General features: G+C 44.6%; 1 protein-coding gene across 2 annotated transcripts in view, besides 3 other annotated features; it reads left to right on the top strand.

Annotated features, from left to right (window-relative positions):
• GOLM1 (golgi membrane protein 1) overlaps positions 1 to 27,682 on the top strand; it is a 74,004-nt gene that overhangs the window by 8,830 nt on the left and 37,492 nt on the right. For both annotated transcript variants that reach the window (NM_177937.3, NM_016548.4), the window contains exons 2-3: positions 11,979 to 12,128; positions 13,729 to 13,908. In NM_177937.3, the coding sequence (NP_808800.1) occupies positions 12,000 to 12,128; positions 13,729 to 13,908 (309 nt within the window). In that variant the 5' untranslated portion in view covers positions 11,979 to 11,999. The remainder of the gene's footprint in view (positions 1 to 11,978; positions 12,129 to 13,728; positions 13,909 to 27,682) is intronic.
• Positions 11,238 to 12,437: an enhancer, noted in NCBI's record as "BRD4-independent group 4 enhancer chr9:88693798-88694997 (GRCh37/hg19 assembly coordinates)". NCBI's record gives its function as "activates an origin of replication core promoter dependent on BRD2, P300/CBP, MED14 and CDK7 cofactors, and independent of BRD4, by STARR-seq in HCT116 cells {active_cell/tissue: HCT116}" and the evidence as "EXISTENCE:reporter gene assay evidence [ECO:0000049][PMID:35650434]".
• Positions 24,986 to 25,986: an enhancer, noted in NCBI's record as "H3K27ac-H3K4me1 hESC enhancer chr9:88680249-88681249 (GRCh37/hg19 assembly coordinates)". NCBI's record gives its function as "activates a minimal SCP1, AML or CMV promoter by ChIP-STARR-seq in naive H9 embryonic stem cells {active_cell/tissue: H9 hESC(naive)}" and the evidence as "EXISTENCE:reporter gene assay evidence [ECO:0000049][PMID:30033119]".
• Positions 25,987 to 26,487: an enhancer, noted in NCBI's record as "H3K27ac-H3K4me1 hESC enhancer chr9:88679748-88680248 (GRCh37/hg19 assembly coordinates)". NCBI's record gives its function as "activates a minimal SCP1, AML or CMV promoter by ChIP-STARR-seq in naive and primed H9 embryonic stem cells {active_cell/tissue: H9 hESC(naive and primed)}" and the evidence as "EXISTENCE:reporter gene assay evidence [ECO:0000049][PMID:30033119]".

The raw sequence follows: 27,682 nt of genomic DNA, 5'->3' as shown, positions 1-27,682 counted from the left end.
TTGTTTATAAACTTAGAATAGGAAATGCCCTTCTAAATATAACAACAATCGAGAAGTAATAAAGGATTGACAAGATTAGGTTATTTAAAACAACAACAGAGTGGCTGGTAAGATGGCCAAATAGCAACAGCTCTGGTCCGCAGCTCCCAGCGAGATCAACACAGAAGACAGGTGATTTCTGCATTTCCAACTGAGGTACCTGGCTCATCTCACTGGGACTGGTTAGACGGTGGATGCAGCCCACAGAGGGTGAGCAGAAGCAGGGTGGGGCATCGCCTCATCTAGGAAGTGCAAGGGGTTGGGGAACTCCTCCCCTAGCCAAGGGAAACTATGAGGGACTGTGCCATGAGGGACAGTGCACTCTGGCCCAGATACTACGCTTTTCCCATGCTCTTCGCAACCCACAGACCAGGAGATACCCTCAGGTGCCTACACCACCAGGGCCCTGGGTTTCAAGCACAAAACTGGGCGGCCATTTGGGCAGACACTGAGCTAGCTGCAGGAGTTTTTTTTTTTTTTTTTTTTTTTTTTTTGGTACCCCAGTGGCACTTGGAACGCCAGCGAGACAGAACTGTTCACTCCCCTGGAAAGGAGGCTGAAGCCAGGGAGCCAAGTGGTCTAACTCATTGGATTCCACCCCAATGGAGCCCAGCAAGCTAAGAAACACTGGCTTGAAATTCTTGCTGCCAGCACAGCAGTCTGAAGTTGCCCCGGGATGCTCGAGCTTGGTAGAGGGGAGGGGCATCCGCCATTGCTGAGGCTGGAGTAGGTGGTTTTCCTCTCACAGTGTAAAGAAAGCTGCCAGTTCGAACTGGGTAGAGCCCACTGCAGCTCGGCAAAGCCACTGTGGCCAGACTGCCTCTCTAGATTCCTCCTCTCTGAGCAGGGCATCTCTGAAAGAAAGGCAGCAGCCCCAGTCTTACAGATAAAACTCCCAGCTCCCTGGGACAGAGCACCTGGGGGAAGGGGTAGCTGTGGGCACAGCTTCAGCAGACTTAAATGTTCCTGCCTGCCAGCTCTGAAGAGAGCAGCAGATCTCCCAGCATAACACTCAAAGTCTGCTAGGGGACAGACTGCCTCTTCAAGTGGGTCCCTGACCCCTGTGCCTCCTGACTGGAAGACACCTCCTAGCAGGGGTTGACAGCTCACCTCATACAGGAGAGCTCCGGCTGGCATCTAGTGGGTGCCCCTCTGCGACAAAGCTTCCAGAGGAAGGAACAGGCAGCAATCTTTGCTTTTCTGATGCCTCCACTGGTGATACCCAGGCAGTGTCTGGAGTGGACCTCCAGCAAACTCCAGCAGACCTGCAGCAGAGGGGCCTGACAGTGAGAAGGGAAACTAACAGAAAGGAATAGCATCAACAAAAAGGACATCCACACAGAAACCCCATCTGAAGTTCACCAATATCAAAGACCAAAGGTAGATACATCCACAAAGATGAGGAAAAACCTGCACAAAAAGGCTGAAAATTCCAAAAACCAGAATGCCTCTTCTCCTCCAAAGGATCACACCTCCTCGCCAGCAAGGGAACAAAACTGGACAGAGAATGAGTTTGATGAACTGACAGAAGTAGGCTTCAGAAGGTGGGTAATAAACTCCTCCGAGCTAAAGGAGCATGTTCTAACCCAATGCAAGGAAGCTAAGAACCTTGAAAAAAGTTTAGAGGAATTGCTAACTAGAATAACCAGTTTAGAGAAGAACATAAATGACCTGATGGAGCTGAAAAACACAGCACGAGAACTTCGTGAAGCATATGCAAGTATCAATAGCCAAATCGGTCAAGCGGAAGAAAGGATATCAGAGGTCGAAGATCAACTTAATGAAATAAAGCGTGAAGACAAGATTAGAGAAAAAAAGAATGAAAAGGAATGAACAAAGCCTCCAACAAATATGGAACTATGTGAAAAGACCAAACCTATGTTTGATTGGTGTACCTGAAAGTGAGGGGGGGAATGGAACCAAGTTGGAAACACTCTTCAGGATATTATCCAGGAGAACTTCCCCAACCTAGCAAGACAGGCCAACATTCAAATTCAGGAAATACAGAGAACACCACAGATACTCCTCGAGAAGAGCAACCTGAAGACACATAATTGTCAGATTCACCAAGGTTGAAATGAAGGAAAAAATGTTAAGGGCAGCCAGAGAAAAAAGTCAGGTTACCCACAAAGGGAAGCCCATCAGACTAACAGCAGATCTCTCTGCAGAACCCCTACAAGCCAGAAGAGAATGGGGGCTAATATTCAACATTCTTAAAAGAACTTTCAACCCGGAATTTCATATCTAGCCAAACTAAGCTTCATAAGTGAAGGATAAGTAAAATCCTTTACAGACAAGCAAATGCTGAGAGATTTTGTCACCACCAGGACTGCCTTACAAGAGCTCCTAAAGGAAGCACTAAATATGGAAAGGAAAAACCAGTACCAGCCACTGCAAAAGCGTACCAAATTGTAAAGACCATCGACACTATGAAGAAACTGCATCAACTAATGGACAAAATAACCAGTTAACATCATAATGACAGGATCAAATTCACACATAACAATATTAACCTTAAATGTAAATGGGCTAAATGCCCCAATTAAAAGACACAGACTGGCAAATTGGATAGACTCAAGACCCATAGGTATGCTGTATTCAGGAGACCCATCTCACACGCAGAGACACACATAGGCTCAAAATAAAGGGATGGAAGAATATTACCAAGCAACGGAAAGCAAAAAAACAAAACAAAAAAAAAAAAAAAACAAAACCAGGAGTTGCAATCCTCTGAAAAAACAGACTTTAAACCAACAAAGATTTAAAAAGGGCATTACATAATGGTAAAGGAATCAATGCAACAAGAAGACCTATCTATCCTAAATATATATATATATATATATATATATATATATATATACACCCTTCAAAAAAACAACGAATCCAGGAGCTGGTTTTTTGAAAAGATTAACAAAATAGATAGACTGCTAGCCAGACTAATAAAGAAGAAAAGAGAGAAGACTGAAATAGACACAATAAAAAATGGTAAAGGGGAGATCACCACTGATCCCACAGAAATACAAACTAAAATCAGAGGATACTATAAACACCTCTACGCAAATAAACTAGAAAATCTAGAAGAAATGGATAAATTCCTGGACACATAAACCCTCCCAAGATTAAACCAGGAAGAAGTCAAATCCCTGAATAGACCAATAACAAGTTCTGAAATTGAGGCAGTAATGAATAGCCTACCAACCAAAAAAAGCCCAGGACCAGACGGAATCACAGCCAAATTCTACCAGAGGTACAAAGAGGAGCTGGTACCATTCCTTCTGAAACTATTCCAAACAATAGAAAAAGAGGGACTCTTCCCTAACTCATTTTATGAGGTCAGCATCATCCTGATACCAAAACCTGGCCTAAACACAACAAAAAAAGAAAATTTCAGACCAATATCCCTGATGAACATCGATGGGGAAATCCTCAATAAAATACTGGCAAACCAAATCCAGCAGCACATCAAAAAGCTTATCCACTACAATCAAGTCAGCTTCATCCCTGGGATGCAAGGCTGGTTCAACATATGAATTAGTAGACGTAATCCATCACATAAACAGAACCAATGGCAAAAACCACATGGTTCTCTCAATAGATGCAGAAAAGGCCTTCGATCAAATTCCACACCTCTTCATGCTAAAAACTCTCAATAAACTAGGTATTGATGGAATGTATCTCAAAATAATAAGAGCTATTTACAACAAACCCACAGCCAGTATCATACTGAATGGGCAAAAGCTGGAGGCATTCCCTTTGAAAACTGCCACAAGACAAGGATGTCCTCTCTCATCACTCCTATTCAGCATGGTATTTGAAGTTCTGGCCAGGGCAATCAAGCAAGAGAAAGAAATGTATTCAAATAGGAAGAGAGGAAGTCATATGATCCCTGTTTGCAGACAACATGATTGTATATTTAGAAAACCCCATCGTCTCAGCCTAAAATCTCCTTAAGCTGATAAGCAACTTCAGCAAAGTCTCAGGATACAAAATCAATGTGCAAAAATCACAAGCATTCCTATACACTAATAGACAAACAGCCAAATCATGAATGAGCTCCCATTCACAATTGCTACAAGGAGAATAAAATACCTAAGAGTACAACTTACAAGGGATGTGAAGGACCTCTTCAAGGAGAACTACAAACCACTGTTCAAGGAAGTAAGAGAGGACACGAACAAATGGAGAAACATTCCATGCTCATGGATCGGAAGAATCAATATCGTGAAAATGGCCATACTGCCCAAAGTAATTTATAGATTCAATGCTATCGCCATCAAGCTACCCTTGACTTTCTTCACAGAATTGGAAAAAACTACTTTAAAGTTCATATGGAACCAAAAAAGAGCTCATATAGCCAAGACAATCCTAAGCAAAAAGACAAAGCTGGAGGCATCATGCTGCCTGACTTCAAACTGTACCACAAGGCTACAGTAACCAAAACAGCATGGTACTGGTACCAAAAAAGATACATAGACCAATGGAACAGAACAGAGGGCTCAGAAAGAATGCCACACATCTACAACCATCTGATCTTTGACAAAACTGACAAAAACAAGCAATGGAGAAAGGATTCCCTGTTTAATAAATGGCACTGGGAAAACTGGCAAGCCATATGCAGAAAACTGAAACTGGACCTCTTCCTTACACCTTGTACAAAAACTAACTCAAGATGGATTAAAGACTTAAACGTAAGACCTAAAACCATAAACACCCTAGAAGAAAACCTAGGCAGTACGTGGGCATGGGCAAAGACTTCATGACTAAAACACCAAAAGAAATGGCAACAAAAGCCAAAATAGACAAATGGGATCTAGTTAAGCTAACGAGCTTCTGCACAGCTAAAGAGGCTATCATCAGAGTGAACAGGCAGCCTACAGAATAGGAGAAAACTTTTGTAATCTGTCCATCTGACAAAGGGCTAATATCCAGACTCTACAAAGAACTTAAAGTTACAAGAAAAAAAAACCCATCAAAAACTGGGCGAAGGATATGAACAGAGACTTCTCAAAAGAAGACATTTATGCAGCCAACAAACATATGAACAAAAGATCATCATCATTGGTCATTAGAGAAATGCAAATCAAAACCATAATGAGATACCATCTCACGCCAGTTAGAATGGTGATCATTAAAAAGTCAGGAAACCACAGATGCTGGAGAGAATGGAGAAATAGGAACGCTTTTACTCTGTTGGTCGGAGTGTAAGTTAGTTCAACCATTGTGGAAAACAGTGTGGTGATTCCTCAAGGATCTAGAACTAGAAATACCATTTGACCCAGCAATCCCATTACTGGGTATATACCCAAAGGATTATAAATCATTCTATAAAGACACATGCACACGTATGTTTATTGCGGCACTGTTCACGATAGCAAAGACTTGGAACCAACCCAAATGCCCATCAGTGATAGACTAGATAAAGAAAATATGGCACGTATACACCATGGAATACTATGCAGCCATAAATGAGTTCATGTCCTTTGCCAGGGACACGGATGAAGCTGGAAACCATCATTCTCAGCAAACTAACACAGGAACAGAAAACCAAACACCACATGTTCTCATTCATAAGTGGGAGCTGAACAATGAGAAAACATGGACACAGGGAGGGAAACATCACACACCAGGGCCTGTGGTGGGGTGGGGAACTAGGGGAGGGGTAAGCATTAGGAGAAGTAACTAAATGTAGGTGAGGGGTTGATGGGTGCAGCAAACCATCATGGCACAGGTATACCTATGTAACAAACCTGCACGTTTTGCACATGTATCCCAGAGCTTAAAGTATAATTTAAAAAAAAAGTAGAACCTTCAAAAAAAAAAAAAAAAACAAAAACTTTGGGCAAAATTTCTGTAAAGTAAAAGAATAGATGAAAAATTGAAAAAAAATTATTCAAATGAAGGACCAAAGATTGGTTTACCTTTAATAGACAAAGAGCTTTAGCAAATCAATAAGATGAACACCCCAGTTTAAAACTGGGCAAAAAATATGAAAAGGCATTTCACCAAAATGAACATGCAGATGGCCAATAAATGAAAAGACACTCATTTGTACTCACAATTAATGTGCTTGAAAATATCACTAATGAGATTGTCAGGCATTAAAAAGTTTGTTTTCTATGTTACCATGTCGGAAAACAGGCATTCTCCTGCTGCAGAAGATTGTGATTAAAACCTCTATATGAAAAGAAGGAAAATTTTTTTTGTAGGCCTAACTGTCTTTTTGTTTGTTTCTCTGGGACAGAGTCTCACTCTGTTGCCCCCAGGCTGGAGTGCAGTGGCGCGATCTCGACTCACTGCAACCTCTGCCTCCCGGGTTCAAGTGATTCTTCTGCCTCAGCCTCCCGAGTAGCTAGGACTACAGGTGAGCACCACCCCCGGCTACTTCTTGTATTTTTAGTAGAGATGGGGTTTCACCATATTGGTGAGGATGGTCTTGAACTCCTGACCTCGTGATCCGCTTGCCTCAGCCTCCTAAAGTGCTGGAATTACAGGCATGAGCCTCCGTGCCCAGCGAAAGGAAGGAATTTTTTAAAATATTAATATTTAACTAGAAGGTTCAAGGGGCTCATGCATTTGACAGGTTGGACCTGTTTTGGATATGGTTAAGATCTATCAAATAATTTTTTATATAGTTTAGACTTAAGGAAGGGTTGGAAAATAGTACATATAGTTCCTATATACCCTTTACCCTGTTTCCCCTTAACCATAGAATTTATCAAAATTAAGAGATTAACCTTGGTAATATCTTTTTAACCGTGCTGGCCAAGTGTTTTATAGAATGTCTGACGCGTTGACTTCCTCTGAATTTTCTCCTGATAAGATTGAGGTTATGTATCCCTGGCAGGAGGCTGTAGAGGTGCCGTGCCCTCCTAGTGCACCATATCAGGGGGTATGTGATGTCGATGTGCCTCATTATCAGGGATACCAAGCTTGAACATGTGGCTAAGGTGGCATCTGCCAGAATTCTTCATGTAATAGAACTGTTTTTCCCTTTGTAATTTGCCAACTATTTTGGAAGAGAGAAGCTCTATCAATATTAAAAACATACATTTTTGACCCAGAAATAGATCCACAGAGATGTGATTTATTTCATCTCCTGCAAAATGGGGATGATAATGCCCCCAAAGCTGATACGAGCCCCTGTATTGAGCAGTGCCTCACAACAGTAAGCTTGCTGTTGGTTCATCTCAAGCTCCTTGAGGCCAGCTAGGTTTGGAACTCAGGACTTTTTTCAGAATTCAGATAACATTGGGCATTTATTATATATTATGTGACAGCCCCAGGAGGATCTAGGACAGCACCGCATGCTCAAACACTCATCTTTCTGCAGTGAAATGTATGAGCATTCACATGAAAGGAGGAAGATAAAGACTATCAGTAGCTTCAGATAAGTTCTGATCAGACCTTGATCTCAGTTCAGGTTTTGTTGCTGGAAAAGTTTTTAAAACTTTCTCTGAGTTTTTAGAGACCGTTTTGGATTTCAAAGTTGTGAATAAGGGACTGTACACATAGGTAAGAGTTCGTAAACACAGAGATGGATGTACAGTTCCACATCTGCAGATTAAACTAGCTGTTCAAAATGTACTTAAGCCTGGCTGGGCATGGTGGCTCATGCCCATAATCCCAGCACTTTGGGAGGCCGAGGCAGGCAGATCACTTGAGGCCGAGAATTCGAGACCAGCCTGGCCAACATAGTGAAACACTGTCTCTACTAAAAGTACAAAAAAAACTAGCTGGGTGTGGTGGTGGCCACCTCTAATCCCAGCTACTCAGGAGGCTGAGATGGGAGAATCCTTTGAACCTGGGAGTCGGAGGTTGCAGTGAGCCAAGTTCGTGCCACTGCACTCTAGCCTGGGTGACAGAGCAAGACTCCCATCTCAGAAAAACAAACAAAAATTAGTTAGGCCTACTGTGGTTGCATCTGTACTGAACATGTATAGACTTTTTTGTGATTAGTTCCTAAACATATGGCTTAACAGCTAATTACATAGCATTTATATTGTACTAAGTATTATAAGTAATCTAGACATGGTTTAAAGCCTAGAGGAGGATGTGCCTGGGTTGGATTCACATAGTATGCCATTTTATATAAGAGACTTGAACATCCTTGGCTTTTGGTGTCCTCAGGGGGTCCTGGAACCAATCCCCAGTGAATACTGAGGGACAGCTGTGTAAGGTTGTTTATGGTAGCATTGTTGGAAATAAGCCTGGAAAACCTTGACTGTTTCTCTGTAGGAGATCAGTTAAGCAGATCTTGGCACACAGTGGTGCCCTATTCAGCCCTTTGAAAAGAATGGAGCAAACCATAATGTGCTACTAAAAAAGGGGAGGCAAGATGTGTTACTAAGAAATACACAGCATTTACAGAAGAGTGTGAATGGTGTGATCTTGTTTGGATTAAAATAAATATATTGATGCTTATATATGCATCTAGAAACATCTAGAATAGCGGCTATACATATGAATCACCTGGGGAGGTTAAAAAATACAAATATCCGGGCCTTGCCCTAAACCCCATTGAATTAGAAATGCAGGGCTGGGGGCCAGGTGTGATGGCTCACGCCTGTACTCCCAGCACTTTAGGAGGCTGAGGCGGGAGGATCACTGAGCCCAGGAGTTTGAGACCAGCTTGAGCAACATAGTGAGACCCCATCTCTACAAAAATAGAAAAAATTAGCTGGGCGTGGTGGCACACACCTGTAGTCCCAGCTACTTGGGAAGCTGAAGTGGGAGGATCACTTGAGCCCAGGAAGTTGGGGAAGCTGAGGTGGGAGGATCACTTGAGCCCAGGAGTTGAGGCTGGGATCACACCACTAGGCAGCTATTTCAGCCTGGGTGACAGAGTGAGTGTGTCAGCCTGAGCAACAGAGTGAGACCCTGTCTCAAGAAAAAAAAAAAAGGAAAGAAAAGAAATGCAGTGGTGGAGCCCAGGTATTGATATTTTAAAAAGTGTCAGGCTGGGCACGGTGGCTCATGCCTGTAATCCCAGCACTTTGGGAGGCCGAGGCGGGCGGATCACAAGGTCAGGAGATCAAGACCATCCTGGCTAATGGGGGAACTTCGTCTCTACTAAAACTACAAAAAATTAGCCAGGTGTGGTGGCAGGTGCCTGTAGTCCCAGCTACTCGGGAGGCTGAGGCAGGAGAATGGCATGAACCTGGGAGGCGGAGCTTGCAGTGAACCTAGATCACGCCACTGCACTCCAGCCTGGGCAACAGAGAGAGACTCCATCTCAAAAAAAAAAAAAAAAAAAAAGTGTCCCAGGTGATGCTGATGCCCCTTGAGTGTTGAGGACCACTGGAACAGAAGGACCCAGATGTTAGAAAATGTTATCCCTTTCCTTTGGAGTAGGATGAGGGGGATGTAATTTATCCTTTTTTCTTTTTTTTTTTTAATCAGAGTCTCGCTCTGTCGCCCAGGCTGGAGTGCAGTGGTGTCATCTTGGCTCACTGCAAGCTCCGCCTCATGGGTTCAAGCTTTTCTCCTGTCTCAGCCTCTTGAGTAGCTGGGACTACAGGCATGTGCCACCATGCCTGGCTGCTTTTGTATTTTTAGTAGAGATGGAGTTTCACCACGTTGGCCAGGCTGGTCTCAAATTCCTGACTTCAGGCCATCTACCTGCCTTGGCCTCCCAAAGTGCTGGGATTACAGGCATGAGCCACTGCACCCGACCAATTTATACTCTACTGTGTGTAGTTTCCTATTTTTTCCTTAGCAAAAGCCATTTGGAAAAGTCCCTGCCACCCCCTCTTGTATTTGTACTTTTATATTTTAAAAACAAGGTTAGCTGGGCACGGTGGCTCATGCCTATATTCCCAGCACTTTGGGAGAACGAGGCAGACGGATCACCTGAGGTTGGGAGTTCCAGACCAGCCTGACCAACATGGAGAAACCCCGTCTCTACTAAAAATACAAAATTAGCTGGCCGTGGTGGTGCATGCCTGTAATCCCAGCTACTCGGGAAGCTGAGGCAGGAGAATCGCTTTAACCCGGGAGGCAGAGGTTGTAGTGAGCTGAGATCACACCATTGCACTCCAGCCTGGAAAACAAGAGCGAAACTCCGTCTCAAAAAAAAAAAAAAAAAAATCATTGAGGCTGGGTGCACTGGCTCATACCTGTAATCCCAGTACTTTGAGGGGCCCAGATGGGAGGATCACTTGAGGTCAGGAATTTGAGGCCAACCTAGGCAATAGTGAGACCCTGTCTGTACAAAAATTGTTTTAAAAAATTAGCTGGGCATGGTGGCCCATGTCTGTAGTCCCAGCTACTTGAGAGGTTGAGGGCAGGAGGATTATTTGAGCCCAAGAGTTTGAGGCTTCAGTGAGCCACAATTGCGTGACTGACTCCACCCTGGGCGACAGAGACCCTGTCTCTAAAATAAATAAACAAAAATTTTAAAAAGTTTAAGAGTCAAAAAAGAGACTCTTGTGATCAAGAGTCTCTTGAGTATATTCAGTGCTTGCTGATATCAGCTGATAATTGAAAGAAAAACGTGGTTTCCCCTTTCATCCTGAGAGGCCAGAAGCTGGTAAGACATGAGCACAGGTCAGAATTTCCACCCGTGGGAATTCTGGGGGTGCTTTATTTTAGATGATTCGGCTAGATTGCTTCTTTATCCCCTGGCAGGCCCCCATACTAGTAGCTAGCTGTTAAGAAAAAAGAAGCCTTTTGGTGACCCACCTGAAAAGACCATAGGGTGAGGATCAGTTCTCCCATGTTCTCACTGGTGAGAATTGGGTTTTGCAGGTGAATCCTTGGTGGTATCCTCTTCCTTACCCGTCCCTTGTCTTTTTTGCCCACCATCCCCTTTCCTCCTCTGTTGCTAGACACCCCTGGTGTAAAAGGCTCTCTGTGCTCAAAGGCTGTTTGTTGCAGTGCAGCCACGCTCACTCTGATAAGGTTCTGTTTTATCTGGCTTGGGAAAAGCCATTTGGAAAAGTCTACTTTCCTTGTTCCTAGAGACCAGTGCTTGCATCCAGGCAGACCTGGCTTTGAATTGAAGCCCATTAACAAAATTTATGGCATCTTTCTTCTAAGCTGTATTTTTGTGCACTCTGTAGCTCTCACACAGAGGCACTGTTTTTCCTAACATGAGGTGTACAATGCAGCAGTTGCACAGATACGGTCCCTAAAGTGAGAAATGAATGTTCGAAAGAAGGTGCTCTCGTTTGGCATGGAGTGAATGCCTTGTTTCCACCTCAAATCCTAAGATGGAACACATTTTTCCTGGTGACTTCAGGCAGATGGCACACCTCCCACTTCCGTTGTGTGTCATGAAGGAGGAGACACTTCTATAGCCAGGGCTGTGCCTGAATAATGATGTACATGGGGGGGAGTTCACATTCACCTCCAGAATGGGTTTCCTGCTTTGCTTGAGAAATGCTTTAATTGGGTGTCATTAGTAATCCTGTCAAGGGTAAAAAAAACCTCCCTTGTTAGGAATCAAAGCAAAAAGCTCTCTCTGAGGAGTAATGAGGAATATACTCTTTCTAATATGATGCGGAAGCACTTAATATTTGTTATTGGTGTTTACAGAAATGATTACTTCTCAAACATTGCTGCTTACAGAAATGATTAATTCTCAAACTATGCCGGGAAGGTGAGTATGGTAATGATTTTACAAGGGAGGAATCTGAAGTGTAAGAGGAATCATGTCTTGCCCCAGGTCTCGAGCTAATCTGTGGCAGGTTTCGGGGCGGTGCCTGCTCCTCCGAGCCTGTCCTGGGAACTGGCCACACTGCCCTGGGTTCACAGCACCATGGGCTCTGTGCGTGCCGTTCACATACTCTTCTCCCTTGACAGCTTTGCACGTCAAGGAGAAGCTACCAGCCCACGCTTCTTGGCAAGACTCCTTTCCTCTTGGTTGTAAGGATGATACGGTCTGCTTCGGAGATGATAAAACTAGTATTGATGTTTATTTATTTGCTTTTACTTGGCAGATTCTCAGCGCTGATTTTGAGATGATGGGCTTGGGAAACGGGCGTCGCAGCATGAAGTCGCCGCCCCTCGTGCTGGCCGCCCTGGTGGCCTGCATCATCGTCTTGGGCTTCAACTACTGGATTGCGAGCTCCCGGAGCGTGGACCTCCAGGTGTTTTGTTTTCTTTATTGTTATGTTTATTTTATGTTTATGTTTTGTTTATTTTGTTATGATGGGGTCCCAGGGGTTTGTTGTTTATTGCCAGCCAGGGCGTTTTGTGCAGGGCACACGCTTGTAAGGTGAGTTTAGGGCTCTGCACACCCCCACAGCCCTGGGCCAGACCCCAAGCAGCTTTGGGTGGGAGAGGTCCCCTCTGTGGTTGTGTAGGATTGCGGTTGTGGTATCCCTCCCTGCCTTTCCTGTGAGTTAACAGCATTCATTTGAGCTACTGGGGTGGTTCTGGGAAGACAGCTTGCTTACATACACTGGCCATAGTCCGTTGTTTGCGGTCCTCCGGCGCCCAAGATATCGAAGAGTAGTATTGGAAGTGTGCTTGGATGATGGGTGTAAGAAATATGTTTTTAAAGGTACCAATCTTTATCTTCATTACTTAATGATAATAATAATTTTAACTTCCTCATTTACCGGTGCAGTCATGGGTCAGGTGCAGTGCTGAGCAGTGACAAAGATGCTCCTCTTGATTGAACTTGAGTCGGGCCCTTCTGAGCCGTCTTCTTGACTAGGCCTTGATCTTGGCACCTCCCAACTCTCACTGCCTGTCTTTGGCCTGCCCAGCCCAGTCCTAGCAAAGGATCCCGCTAAGCCATCCTTCTACCCCTGATCCTTGACCAAGTTCCTCATCCCTACCCTTGCTGTCTAAGTCCTTGGCCTGTGTTTAGCAAGAATCTTGTTAGGCCAGTTTAGCAAGAATCCCCCTACTCTGGGGGCGATTTCCATCCACTGACTCCCCGCACTGTGCTCGTTGGCTATAAATCCCTAGCTGTCTTTGATGTGTTCGGCATTGAGCACAATTTCCCTCTCCTATTGCAATCGTTTTGAATAGTCTTTCTTACCATTTTAATGAATGTCAGAATAATTTCTCTTTCACAGTACTTTATACAAATTATCTCCTTTTGTGCACAAACCCTACAAGGCTGGGACTTGACTTTCCTCATTTCACAGGGGGTCAGACTGAGGCACCAAGAGGTTGAGGTGGAGCAGGGATTCCAACCTGCATGGGCTTAGCCGTGGCACCCCAGCACGTCTGTGCTCTGTCCTGTTCTCACACTTACCCTCCTGGGCTTGTACTCCCTGTGTCTCAGCTTCCACGGGAGTTCCTGTTCTCTGGGCAGATGAGGTCTGCTTGTCTGGAGTTGGAGAACTGAATCTGTTTTCAGAAATTGTATCTGCTAAAGAGTTGTTAAGTGCTTTGTTAGCAGCGAAGAAGAACTAAATATTTGAGCATCATCTTATGCCAGGTAAAGCATGAGGCATTCTGTGCACTTAGCACATTTAAGCCTCACAAAAACCCAGTGGGAAGTGTGGTGTGAGTGCACAGAGCCTTCCTTCACTTACACTGACAGAGACCATTTTTTCCAGAAGAAACCGCTCCAGCTTCTGTCCAGTTGACTTAAAACACAGCCTTGGGCACTTGTGTGTATAAGACTGGTGCTGGCCCTGGGCCCCAAGGTGGTCTTTGTGGAGGGCGCTCAGGTGGTCCAGGCTCCTCAGGTAACTTGGCATCAGCCCTAATGCCACGGTCTCCTTGTAGACACGGATCATGGAGCTGGAAGGCAGGGTCCGCAGGGCGGCTGCAGAGAGAGGCGCCGTGGAGCTGAAGAAGAACGAGTTCCAGGGAGAGCTGGAGAAGCAGCGGGAGCAGCTTGACAAAATCCAGTCCAGCCACAACTTCCAGCTGGAGAGCGTCAACAAGCTGTACCAGGACGAAAAGGCAAGGCCTGCTTTGTTTCCTCTCAGTTCTTTTCTAAGGGATGGTGTCTACATTGTCTGTTTCTTCTTGGCGGGAGGATGAGCAAGCGGCTGGGTTTAGATTTATGTAATTATGTGGAAAGAGCCTATTGATCAAGCTTTGGGCATTCTCTCCCTTTCCCCTCCAAGTCCCTGGCTGGGCTTGCGGTGAAGCCTTTTGCAGTGGTAATAAACAGGAGAAATGCAGAAGAACAATTTCAGATTCATCCTCCTATTGGCTTTTTTTTTTCTCCTATTGGGTTTTTTCTTCCCACTTTCCACAAACATGTATTAAATACCTACTCTGTGCCAGGCCTATGCCAGGTGCTTATATCTCAGAGAAAAATAATATTTGTGCCCTCCAAGTATCTAATGGAGGAGAGGAGAGGCAGACTCTACTAAATACTAACAGAGAAAGTAGGGGACTGCACCCTTGCTTTTAAGCTAGGAAAAAAACCAACAAATCCTGCGTAGATTTAAAGGGGCCTTCCTGCTAATTAAAATATCTAAGCTTTATGTGTCTTTTTTTTTTTTTTTGAGATGGAGTTTGGCTCTGTCGCCCAGGCTGGAGTGCAATGGTGCAATCTTGGCTCACTCTGCCTCCCGGGTTCAAGCGATTCTCCTGCCTCAGCCTCCTGAGTAGCTGCGATTACAGGTGCCTGCCACCACGCCCAGCTAATTTTTATATTTTTAGTAGAGATGGGGTTTTCACCATTTTGGCCAGGATGGTTTCGATCTCTTGACCTCGTGATCCACCTGCCTCAGCCTCCCAGAGTGCTAGGATTACAGGCATGAGCCACCGTGCCCGGCCTGGTTTTCTTATGTAGGAATATATGACTATACTTTCTTTATTAAATTGTGTAACTGTGTGAGTTACTAATATCTCCTGTCCCAGAGTGCATCAAACTTTGGCCTCTATTATTAACTAGAAAAATTTGGCTTTTTTTTTTTTTTTTTTTTTTTTTTTTTTTTTGAGATGGGGTTTCCCTCTTGTTGTCCAGGCTGGAGTGCAATGGCGCCCTCTTGGCTCACTGCAACCTCTGCTTCCCGGGTTCAAGCAATTCTCCTGCCTCAGCCTCCCAAGTAGCTGGGACTACAGGCATGTGCCACCACGCCCAGCTAATTTTTTGTATTTTTTAGTAGTGATGGGATTTCGCCATGTTGGTCAGGTTGGTCTCGAACTCCTGACCTCAGGTGATGTACCCGTCTTGGCCTCCCAAAGTGCTGAGATTACAGGCATGAGCCACCGCACCTGGCCTGAAAAATTTGGCTTTTATAATGCGTGTACCTCTCTCTCTGGAGTGGCTAATTTATTGGAAGAATGTTGTAGCTCAACTTCCATTATCTTGAATTGTCTCAGAAAATGAATTATTTCCAGGAAGGGACTCAGACTTTTCTCGCATAACTGATTTAAAATTCAAGAAGTACTTTTTTTGTTGTTTAATTTGCAGAGTACTTTCCTATATTTGCAAGCTCATATTTCTTCTCTGGGAATTGTGCATAATGTTGTTGTAATAAAGTGCTTCTTTATGTTTCTTCCCTTTTCTTACTGGTGAGATATGCTTTTTGTGCTCCTGAAATCCCCTTTAACCTCATCTCTCAAAAAGAAAAAGAAAAAAAAGAGCATCAAGTAGTTATTTGAAAAGAGAATCTGTTTCCACAGTTTTTCTCTTTTAGAATATGCGATATAAATGTCTTTTCATTTTGGTGAGCAAGGGTGGGTTCTCACATCAAACCTTAGCTGCAGGAGGATTTTAGCTGTGGTTTGGTGGTAGGAGGCATGGAACTTGTGAGTCAGGCAGACCCGGGTTTAAAGTTCCCTCAGCTGTGTGATTTTAGGCAAGTCACTTAAATTCTCTGGATCTGTTTTCTCAACTGTCAAGTGGAAATGAGAAAGGAATCTCACAGGGTGCCTGTGAGGATTGAATGAGATAATATTTATAAAGCGTTTAACCCAGTGCTCAACCTAGAATGAAAGCTCAGCAGCTGGTGGTTGGTATTATTACACCTAATTGTACCAACGGCAGTCGAGGCCATGATCACAGCAGCAGTGGTGGGCGCAGTCGTAAGCCACCGCAGCAGCGGTGATAATGTTATCTCTTTCTGTATGGACTTTGTCTTAGTCTGTTTAAGGCTGCTATAACAAAATATCATAAACTGAGCAGCGTATAAACAACAAGTATTTATTCTCACAGGTCTGGAGGCTGGGAAGTCAGAGATCAAGACGGGGCAGATTCATCTGGTGAGGGCCCACTTCCAGGTTCATGGATGCCTTCTTCTTGCGGTGTCCTTGCCTGGTGGAAGGGGCAAGGCAGCTCTCTGGGGCCTCTTTTATGGCACTAATCCCATGTATGAGGGCTTGACTCTCCCAGAGGTCTCGGCTCCTAACATTATCGCCTCCATTTGGTATTTGGTGATTTGGTTTCAATGTGTGGATTTTGAAGGACACCCACACTCAGACCGTAGCAGATTTTTTTTTTCCTCCCAAATTGAAACCATGAAACCAAATTGTGCTAGCTTTAAAAAGAGTTAGGAAGACACTGAGGGAGGTGGAACCAAGAGCAAGCAGTGTGGTGGGGCTATGGAAGGAGAACGATGACAGGCACCACACCAGCCACAGGAGTGAACGTTTCCTGAGCCTGTGCTTGGCCAGACGTGAGGCTGAGCATTTCACAGGGACTGTTTCATTAATTCCTCCCAGCAGTCTGACGAGATTGGGGCTCATATTATTAGTGAATGGAAGCTCAGAGAGTTAGCAGCTGTCACCAGGATGACACCTAGACCCTAGAGAGCCCCCAGGCCAGCCTCCACCCCTGCACACTGGCCGCCGCCTTCCTTCAGTGCAGACACAACTTCTTGGCTGCCCGCACCTGAAGGGCGCCAAGGTGGAGGGGAAGGGGGATAGAGGAAACCAGATGGGCTTGAGTTGGTCAGTGCTGAAGCTGGTGATGGGTACATGGGAGTTCAGCATGCTAGCTTGTTTACCTTTGTCTGCATTAAAGACTTCACAGTAGAAACTTTAAAAACATCTTCTTTAGATCTCCTTGCTTCCAAAGACTGCTGTGTTCTAACTAGCTCTATTTTGGCTACATGGATGGGCTTATCCTTCACCTAAATACTTTTTTATACATTGTCTGTCTTTTTTTTTTTTTTTTTTTTAAATCTTAGAAGGTTAGCATTTGTGGTTAGAACTGGAACAAGTCTCCTTAAAAAAATTTTAAAGAACCATGGTGATTCTCAGCCATGGGAGGAGCTGGGGTGTGGGGACCTGTGGCTGGGGGTGGTTTGCAAATGACACCTGACCTAGAGATTTCCCTGCCTGTCTCTGCCAGCGTTCCTCACCTCAAGCAGTCACTGTCACTCTGGGTAGGTGTTATATCCCTCAAGTTGGGGGCTGGACAAAAGCTTGGAAACCAAACCTGTCATCAGGGAAAATGTGAACAAACACCTGTTCATAATGAAATTACTGCTTTGGGTAGGCCCTGTCTGATAGAATTTTCTATGATGGCAGAAATGTTTATAGTACAGTAGCCACCAGCCACATGAGTCTAATGAATACCTGAAATGTGGCTAGTGGGACTGAAGAACTGAATTTTATTTAATTTTATCGAACTTAAATGTAAATAGCCAAATAATGGTCACATTGGACAGCACGGGTTTGTGTGGTTGGCAGAATGCTGGGGAAAACCTTGTTTGGGCCTCTGAGTCATAGGGAGCCATGTTCCTCAGTGGAGCGGAGGGCAGAGTCTGAGTCTCCTGTGGTTCCTTGGTGCCTTTCCCCCTTCTCTGTAAGGTTCGGGAGCAGTGTGGGCAATTGGGCAATGGAAGATGAAATCACCTTCAACCTGGGGAGTTGTGCACCCCCCTGAAAGTAAGTCTCTGCAGCTTGCTGGTGTTCTGATGCAGAATGATCTGTTCAGCTTATCAAATCAGCTTTTGTTTACACCCCAGCTTGGGGTTTTGATCTTATTTGTTATGGAAGTTGTTTCAGAGCAATCCGTCCTCACCTGGCTGCTCGTGATAACCACCTGCGAGCTTATGAACAAAATACAGATTAAAAATATACACTAGATCAGACTCTCTGGATGTTTGGGCTCAGAATATAGAATTTTTAAAAATATCTCACATATATATAAACATACACATATTCATACATGTACTTTTTTTTTTTTCTAAACTTCCAGACCACTGTGATGCAGCTAGCTGATCTAGAAACCGGTGATTGAGATCAAGTGTTTTGCAGAATTACACTTTTAAAAATAAAAATGCATTGTCAAGGTTATCTTTTTTTCAGTTTCCTTTTTACCCTTCTTCAGTGAAGTGATTTAAAAATTAAAGGGCATTGTAATTAAGATGTATGCAGTCATGCGCCACATGTGATGTTTTGGTCAATTATGGACCCATCAAATTCTAATCTTTTCTATGTTCAGATACACAAATACTTACTACTTTTACTGTATCTTTTCTGTGTTTAGATACACAAATACTTACCACTGTGTTACAAGGCCTGCAGTATTCAGTACAGTCCCATGCTGTACAGGTTTGTAGCCTGGGAGCATTAGGCTGTAGCATACAGCCTAGGTGTACAGTAGGCTATAATATCCAGGTTTGTATAAGTGCATTCTATGATGGTTACACAAAGACAAAATCTCATAATGATGCATTTCTCAGAGCCTATCCCCATCATTAAGCAATGCATGACTGTAATTCATCTAAATGTAATTTGATAGAGCTGTTACAAAGTAATTGAGTTAATGCTTGTTTTTCTGAGGGATTTCTTTCATCTTTACCCACATTTACTGGAATCCTTGAACATTTTTCAAAGCTGTGCCAGATTGGAAACTTACTCATCACTGCTTTTTTCCCAGAATAGCCATCTCACCCAGGATTTGTGTATACGTGGATCTCGAGGTCCTCAGCACTGAGACAGGCTTGCTCAGACACCCCTTAGAATGTCACCCAGGGTGGGTGGGCAAGTGTAAGACATTGCATGAGCTTCTCAACAGCTGTGTGATGGTGACATAATGAGACATAGAATGGTTTTCTTATGAAATAGCTGGACATGCAGAGAGGTCAGATGAATAATAAGCTCACACCTGCGTGCCCCTCACCCAGATATTATTTAAAGCAAAAAACATCATAAATACAGTCAAGGTTCTCTATGTTCCCCTTCTCCGTCTCTTCTCTCCTTTCCCTCCTGCCTGTACAACCACTGTTGTGAATGTTAATGATTGTCTTTGTAGCTTATATTTCTGAACTATTACTATACACGTTCAAAAACAACATGTATATTTTTTCTCTGGTTTTAATGTATATGTTTGGTCACTATCATTTTATAACTTGCTTTTTGTAGTCACCATTGTTTTTGAGGTCTTTATTGATTTGATAGATTTAGTTCATTCTTTCTCACTGCTGTACCCTCTTTCTTTGTATAAATATACCCCAGTTTATTTACCCACTCCTTATTGTAAGCCTTTGTTTCTAGTTTTTTACTCCTTGAGAGAAGGTACAGTGAGTATACTCATACAGTGCTGCTCAGGCACCTGGGGGTTTTCCAAGCTTGCAGTGTTTGCCAACTACAGTTTGGGACCTTTTAGTGAGCTATGCTTAATAATTTAGTGGATAATGACCCACGTCTTAAAAAACTAAAAATATTAGAGTGTTATTGTATATGTTAACTGTTGCGTTATGAAACTATTATTGCTTTTTTTTTTTTCTTTTTGAGACAGAGTCTCACTCTGTTGCCCAGGCTGGAGTGCAGTGGCACGATCTCGGCTCACTGCAACCTCCACCTCCACCTCACAGCGTTTCTCACAGCCTCCCGAGTAGCTGGGATTACAGACCTGCACCACCACACCCGGCTAATTTTTGTATTTTTAGTAGAGACGGGGTTTCTCCGTGTTGGCCAGGCTGGTCTCGAACTCCTGACTTCAAGTGATCCACCTGCCTTGACCTCCCAAAGTGCTGGGATTACAGGCATGAGCTACCATGCCTGACCACCATTGTTGCATTTTATATTAAAAAAAATAGGTGCTTTGGGAGGCTAAGGCGGGAGGATTGCTTGAGGCCAGGAGTTCAAGACCAGCCTGGGCAACATACTGAGACCCTGTCTCTACAGAAAATTAAAAAGTAACTGGGAATGGTTGTTGCATGCCTGTAGTCCTAGCTACTCAGGAAGCTGAGGTGGGTGGATCACCTTGAGCCCAGGAGTTTGAGGTTCAATGAACTATAATTGCACCACTGTGCTCCAGCCTAGGTGACAGAGCGAGACCCTGTTTCTAAATATACGTGTGTGTGTGTGTGTGTGTGTGTGTGTACATGTATATATGTGTGTAAATGTTTGTACTGAATCACAAGATAAAATTTATCATTGTGGGTCATGGTCAAAAGAGTCTGGAAAGATATAGAGATACACCTGGACGTTAAGTAGCTGGATGGTTGTACATCCTCTCATTTTTATTAGCTGTTGCCACAGAACGTTCCTGCTGTTATATTTCACTTTGTACAACTTCCTGGCCTGCAGATCAGATCCTTTGGCCCTACATTTCTGTGTGTAATATTTCACTCTTTTCTTATTTCTTGCAATCTAAGTTTTGCGCCTGATCAATTAGCTTATCTCATGGGTTTGAGACTGTTACTTAGTAAAAGTTCGAGTTCGTGGTAAATGAATGAATGGGAATCTCAGTCCATGTACCAGTACTTACTGGATGTCTAGGATGTGCCTGGGGCCCTGTGTCCTTAGCAGCTTGAATGCTGTTTTGGAGGAAGATGAGATTCCCTCACATATCTAGAGAATAATCAGGTTTTTTTTGTTTTTTTTTTTTGAGGTGGAGTCTCGCTCTGTCGCCCAGGCTGGAGTGCAGTGGCATGATCTCAGCTCACTGCAACCTCCGCCTCCTGGGTTCAAGCAGTTATTTGCCTCAGCCTCCCAAGTAGCTAGGATTACAGTCACGTGCCACCACACCCGGCTAATTTTTGTGTTTCTAGTAGAGACAGGGTTTCACCATCCTGGCCAGGCTGGTCTTGAACTCCTGAGCTCGTGATCCGCCCACCTTGGCCTCCCAAAGTACTGGGATTAGAGGCATGACCCACTGTGCTGGGTGAAAATAATCAATGTTTAACAGCAGGTGGAGTTACATGAAAGGAGAGATGGGTATTGGCTAAAGCAGTTGCAGTTTTGTTTTGTTTTTTTCTCTAAAAAGATTGGCTTTAGGTCGGACACGGTGGCTCACGCCTGTAATCCCAGCACTTTGGGAGGCTGAGGCAGGCAGATCATGAGGTCAGGAGATCCAGACCAGCCTCGCCAACATGGTGAAACCCTGTCTCTACCAAAAATACAAAAAATTATCCGGGTGTGGTGGCAGGCACCTGAAATCCCAGCTACTCTGCAGGCTGAGGCAGGAGAATCGCTTGAACCCGGGAGGCGGAGGTTGCAGTGAGCCAGGACTGCACTACTGCACTCCAGCCTGGGTGACAAAGTGAGACTTCATCTCAAAAAAAGAAAAAAAGATTGGCTTTGAGCCTTGGAGACTAAAATGGGATTTAGAGAAGGGTAGAAGGACAGCATTTCAGTGCAGTCAGAGGATTAGAAAAGGAATGTGGAGGTGTGACAGGTCCCACCTAAGTTGGGAAGAGTGTTGCGAGATAAAGATGTAAAATGGCAGGTGTCATTGCTGGCCTCAGCTAACCCTCTGCCCATGTGGAAGGCTAGGTGGCCATGTGTGTTCCATTTTAACGACCCCACACCCATAGCCCACTGGATGAGAGGAGGAACCTCACACAGGAGGAATCCGTCCACTGGCTAGAGTATTAATGGGTTAATTAGATTATGTCTCGTTAATCTGAACCAAATCCTGCAGACTGTGCTCATTCGAGAGTAAATACTTCAGATGAGTGAGACTCAGTTCTTGGGGATTGAGCTGCCATTTCCGTTTCCTTTCTTTTTTGCCTCCCTGTCTGTTGCAGTAGTAGGTGTGGTGAAGATGGTTTGACTGCATCAGTGCAGTTGTGCAAGTTCATGAGAATTTATGTAACTTAGTAGAAGCACCACACTTCCTTTTCTGTGTATAAGAAAGGATATTAAGCCGCCTTTTGCAATGATTGTGTATGTTAAGTAACTTTCCAAAAAAGTTGGCTTTTCCTTAATTAAAATAATGTTATAAGCAAATTTGAAAACAAAAAAGAAAAATTCACCTGTAGTTCTCACTCAGAAATTAGCTATTGAGAACTCTCCACTCCCTTTCTTTAAAAAAAAAAATAGAGATTACATGTAAGCTTTTATTAGTTACTACTTAATAATATACTTATAATACTTTATAAATGTAGGTATGCCATGAAAATTGTAGAATATAAGTGGGGTTCTTTAAATGATAAAACGTTTAGCCATTTCTGGCTTTTGCATATTGTTAAAAAAAAAAACCCAGACATTGTTGGCTTATTGTACCTTACTATCTTAGTTGAGGCAACCACTTTGTAAGTAGACACTGAGAGGTATAATTGCAGACAAGAGGACTCTGCATACCTGTTTGCAGAAGGGAGCTTCTGTAGACTTCCCTGATACCCAGTTGGGACTGGTAACTATGTTTTGAACACAAAGCATACGTTTGGTTCTGGTGAATTTAGACACACGTGTTGTTTTTGTTATCTGTTACTGCATATCAGGTTATCCCCAAACATAGTTAAACCCATAACAAACATGTATTTTGCTCCTGCATCTGCAGTTTGGGAAAGCTCAGTGGGAACGGGTTGTCTCTACTCTGCACTGCATGTCTGGGGTGCCTTGAAGGCTGAGGTTAGAATGATCAGAGAGTCCCTTACTCAGGGGCCTGGCAGTAAGTGCAGCTGTCACCTGAGACCTGGGCAGGGGCAGGGGCCAGGACCAAGACACCTACACTCCCTTTTCCACGTGGCAGTGTGGCTTCTTTTCAGCAAGGGCTGGGTTTTGAGAGTTAGCATCCTCGCTCACAGCAGACCTGACCAGCGGGAGGAAGCTGTGTCATCTTTTGTATTTGGGTCCTAGGGCTGCGTACAAATTAATACAGACTAGATAGCTTAAAACAACAAAAATGTATACTTTTACAGTTTTGAGGGCTAGAAGCCTGAAATTCAGGTGCCAGCAGGGCTGTGGGAGGACACTACCTCGCCTCTCTGGCTTCTAGTGTTTGCTGACACCTTTGACGTTCCTCAGCTTGTAAGTGCAGTTTTGTGCAATTTCCACCTCACATGGCCTGCTTGCCTCTCAGTCTTTCTTTTCGCCTCTTCTCCTCCTCTTATAAGAACACCAGTCATATTGGATAGGGCCCACCTAGCGACCTCATTTTAATTTAAGTACATCTGCGTAGACCTTGTTTCTTTTTTTTTAAATTTATTTATTTATTTATTTATTTTTGAGACGGAGTCTCACTCTGTCGCCCCAGGCTGGAGTCCAGTGATGTGATCTTGGTTCGCTGCAACCTCCACCTTCCAGGTTCAAGTCATTCTCCTGCCTCAGCCTCCTAAGTAGTTGGGACTACAGGCACCCACCACCATGCCCAGCTAATGTTTTTTGTATTTTTAGTAGAGATGGGGTTTCACCACATTGGCTAGGCTGGTCTTGAACTCCTGACCTCAGGTGATCCGCCCGCCTCGGCCTCCCAAAGTGCTGGGATTACAGGCATGAGCCACTGCGCCCGGCCAACCCTGTTTCTAAATGAGGTCATTCATGGGCTCCTTCACAGGTTCAACATGGACATGAATTTTAGGTGTACACTGTTCAACCGACGGCCCCTTTTGTTGACCTTGCCTTGGAAATGAGTGTGGTCACTTCTACATTCATTAGAAGCAAGTCACTAAGGCTGCCCCGAATTTCAGGGGAATTGGACTCCCCCTTTGGGAGTTAGTGTCAATTAATTTGTGGTAATGTTTTTAAACTACCACATTCGTGTGCATAGAAATAATCTTCACGCAACCACCAGTGAAATACTGTTTTCTTTTTTACAGATTCATATATGTGTACATATAAAACAGGTTTTTAAGGGGCCTAACTAGAAACAGATACTTGGGTTTTAGTTTTTGGTAGAAGCCAATGGAGATTCACTTGTAAAGGTGTGCATTCTCTCCTAAGGAGGGCACAGAGTGGTTTAATTCATTCTTTTATGTTGTTAACACAGGCTGATTAATAATTTGGGTCTGGGCCAGGCATGGTGGCTGATACCTGTAATCCCAGCACTTTGGGAGGCCAAGGCCGGTGGATCACTTGAGGTCAGGAGTTCAGTCAGCATGGCGAAATGCCGTCTCTACTAAAAATACAAAAATTAGCTGGGTGTGGTGGTGCATGCCTGTAATCCCAGCTACTTGGGAGGCTAAGGCAGGAGAATGACTTGAACCTGGGAGGCAGAGGTTGCAGTGAGCTGAGACCATGCCAAGCACTCTAGCCTGGGTGACAGCGAGACTCCATCTAAATAATAATAATAATAGTAATAATAATAATTTGGGTCTGAAGACTTCCAAAGATCCTGGGTCCCCTCTTGGCTAACTGCTGTTCAGTGGCCAGTAGTGGCCACAAAGGCTTGGGGGTGGCATCACCTGCCCTCTGAAATGCTTGGGGAAGAGTCTGGGAGACCCTGAATTACTTACTAGCACTTCGTGAAGGGAAAGGCACATCTTCCTGCTATTGTGTTCATTTTTGCTTGCCAAAAGTTCAGTCACAAATAGCTTCATTTTCAGCATTTGCACTTGTAACATTCTCGCTCGGCTGGTTTCTCGCAGCTGCACATCCACTTTGACATTTATACTTTTTACTTATTTGTTAAAATATGTGCATTAATATTGCAGAGGTGCAAAGGTAATGTTTTAGCAACAGTTCCTTTGTCATGAAAATAGAGTTCTTGTATCTTTCCTGAAGGGGAGCAACTGAGTTAAAACAAAAAGATTGCTGAGTGGAAGAACAGAGGTGTTGGTGACTTGCTTATCGTTTTGTGTCCAGAAGAAGAAAAGCTTAAAGAGGCAGTGGGAAAGTGCAGGGGGCGCTCAGCCTCACTGTTGTCATGCTTGCCTGTGTGACCTGTACCCATGTCCAGGTGGTTTCAGGGAGCTGCCCGGTTTCTCCTCTTGCACAGTAACTTGGGGTACGAGGAGGCTCTGAGGTGTTTACAGTGCTTTTCTCTTGTAAAGAGCTGGTTCATGGAGTGCGTTCTTGAGTGTCTTCTGAGCCTGGGATGGGGTCACTTCCCTCAAATACAACAGCATTTGTTTATGAGTGACTTTTGCTGAAAGATTTTGCCTCTTCAAAATAAAATAATTAACAAGTCTGGTCATTGGTCCTACTTGAGAGTTTCAGAGTGCTTTTGTAACATGAACATATTTATTTATTTTCTGGAGACAGAGTCTCACTGTGTCACCCAGGCTGGAGTACAGTGGCGTAATCTTGGCTCACTGCAACCTCCGCCTCCCGGGTTCATATGATTCTCCTGCCTCAGCCTCCCGAGTAGCTGGGATTACAGGCAGGTGCCACCACGCCTGGCTTATTTTTGTATTTTTAGTAGAGATGGGGTTTCACCATGTTGGCCAGGCTGGTCTTGAACTTCTGACCTCGTGATCTACCCTCCTCAGCCTCCCAAAGTGCTGGGGTTACAGGTGTGTGCCACCGCACCCAGCCCGACATGAACATATTTAATTTCTAACTTCATTTCTTTAGGAGACAGTCATTCTTGTCGCTTGAGACAGAGGGGAAGAGAGTGAGAGCCAGAGAGGTCATGGAAGGCTCCCGGCACCTGAGAGTGGCCGGCGTGGGGCTGCCGGGGGCTGCCAGGTCTGCTCGTCACACTGGCCCCACCAGACTGCATTCTCCTGTGGCCAGATGCAATTCTCAGAGGGTTCTGGTGTCTTCTCTCTGGGCCAGCTTTGCTTGTGCACCTGCGAATGTAATGATTGTCTTCTGGGGGAACCAAAGCGATCTTGTGCAGATAAAAGTGGTGTCTTTGATTTTTATCACCTTTAATCGCTGTGATTGATGAATCCAGAGTTCTAGAGCAGCTTTTCTGTTTTTATTCTCACCGATTTTCCGGGTCCAGTTCTGTCAGTCCGTTCAGTATTTGTTCTGTTCTGCCCTGGCCTGTGCCCAGTGGTGGGGAGGCTGTGTTCATTGCACATTTACCATTGAGTGCTGGACAAAGATGAGGAAGTGAGTGTAGTGGGGTCAGTGTAGACAGAGAAACCACCCAGATATTTTAAGCAGGAAGGATTTGATACAGGGAAATAGATACTGTAAGCTGTGGGAAGGGCCTGCATTGAGGTGGGGTGGCTCTCAGGCACTATCTCAGGACCTGCCCCTGTGCCCAGCGTAGAGCGTGAGACCAGCGGGGTTCTGCTGCAGTGCAGGCCCAGAGTCAGGGGCACCCCACTTTCTCTGTTCTGCACCTCCCACACCCTCACTCTGTTCCACATTCTAGCCTCCAGTAAGTGCATCTGATTGGAGGCAGAATCCCACTGGAAATGATTCTGGAAGGTGCATTTTAGCTTCCGAGCCTTTGTGGTTCAGGAAAGCACAGCAAAAGGCGTGTGGAACCGACGTGGAGGAGCCGATCTGCTGCATCCCCCACCAGGCAGGCGGCTCAAGGGCCATGGGAGTCAGCAGCGCTGTCCCCCACAGTGTCTAACCTGGAAGGGTGCCTAGGGAACTGCGAGTGGCTGGGCCCGAGCAGAGTGTGATGTTGGGGTGCAGGAGTTTGGACTTGAGTTTGAAGGAGTTTGGACTTGAGTTCAAGACCGGGGAAGCCGTCATAGGGTTTAAGCTGTGATGGAGCAGTGTGGTCAGATGTGGGATTTAAAAGGCAGGCCCTGGCCATGTGGGGAGAGGGCTGGGTGGGGAGCAGGGCAGAGAGGAGGCAGCACAGTGAGGCAGCTCTTGAAATACTTGGAGTAAAAAGTGATGTTGCACTGAATTTGGGCAGGAGTAGGATGAGCTCTGCAAAGTGAGCAGATTTGGGAGGCAGCCAAGAGGAGGGATCAACAGGCCCCGTGACAGATGGGATAGGTGCGGGAAAGTGTGAATTGAGCAGAATGGAAGCAGGTCAGTAAAATCCATTGAAAATTTGCTGCCCTGAAAATAAAAGTGTTTGTCTCAGAAGACTTCTAGTCTTTTTAGATTGGAAATTCTCCAGTTTGTCAATTGGATTCAACCTTCAAATACAGGTTTATAATTAAACTCAAGTAATTTGCTTCCCACACTTAAAAATACATTTGTAGGAGAAGCAGCAAACATGCCATTCAGGTAGATGTCCTTCACTGCAGACTGTGCCTCAGTGGGTGTCCTAGTGCTGGGTCCTCACCTCCCACCTCCAGGGAGGGGCCTGAGCCTGTCATGGGATGTCCTGGACCTCAGGAGAAGACTCAGATGCCTATTTGATTCAGGACGTGGTTTGATTTTTAAACATGCCATGGACAAGTTCCACATGGAAAGCATTGTCGTGCAATGTGAGGTTGCCCACGATGGTTAGCGGCTGACCAGACGAGGCATGGATTTCATGTGCATTGATCTCTGTTCCTAATGGGACAGAACCAAATCCTGCAGGTGTCCTCGCTCTTGGCCTTGGCTTCATACGCACTAGAAAGAGCGTTGGCGTGTTTGATTGCCATAGAAGGCGTAACGGAGGCTTTGGGTTTTGCTGTTGTGGTTGGCTTTTGTCTTGTTCTCTCTTCACACAGAAAATTGCTTGAGTGACTTGGAATTGACTCCGTTTACCTTCTGTAATTCTTAACCCAACCCAAGACAGGCGTTT

The sequence above is a fragment of the Homo sapiens genome, chromosome 9 (assembly GCF_000001405.40).
Source record: "Homo sapiens chromosome 9, GRCh38.p14 Primary Assembly".
In the NCBI taxonomy this organism is placed as follows: domain Eukaryota; kingdom Metazoa; phylum Chordata; class Mammalia; order Primates; family Hominidae; genus Homo; species Homo sapiens.
The sequence above is the reverse complement of the archived record's forward strand: the minus strand, read 5'-3'. Positions and strand labels throughout refer to the sequence as shown.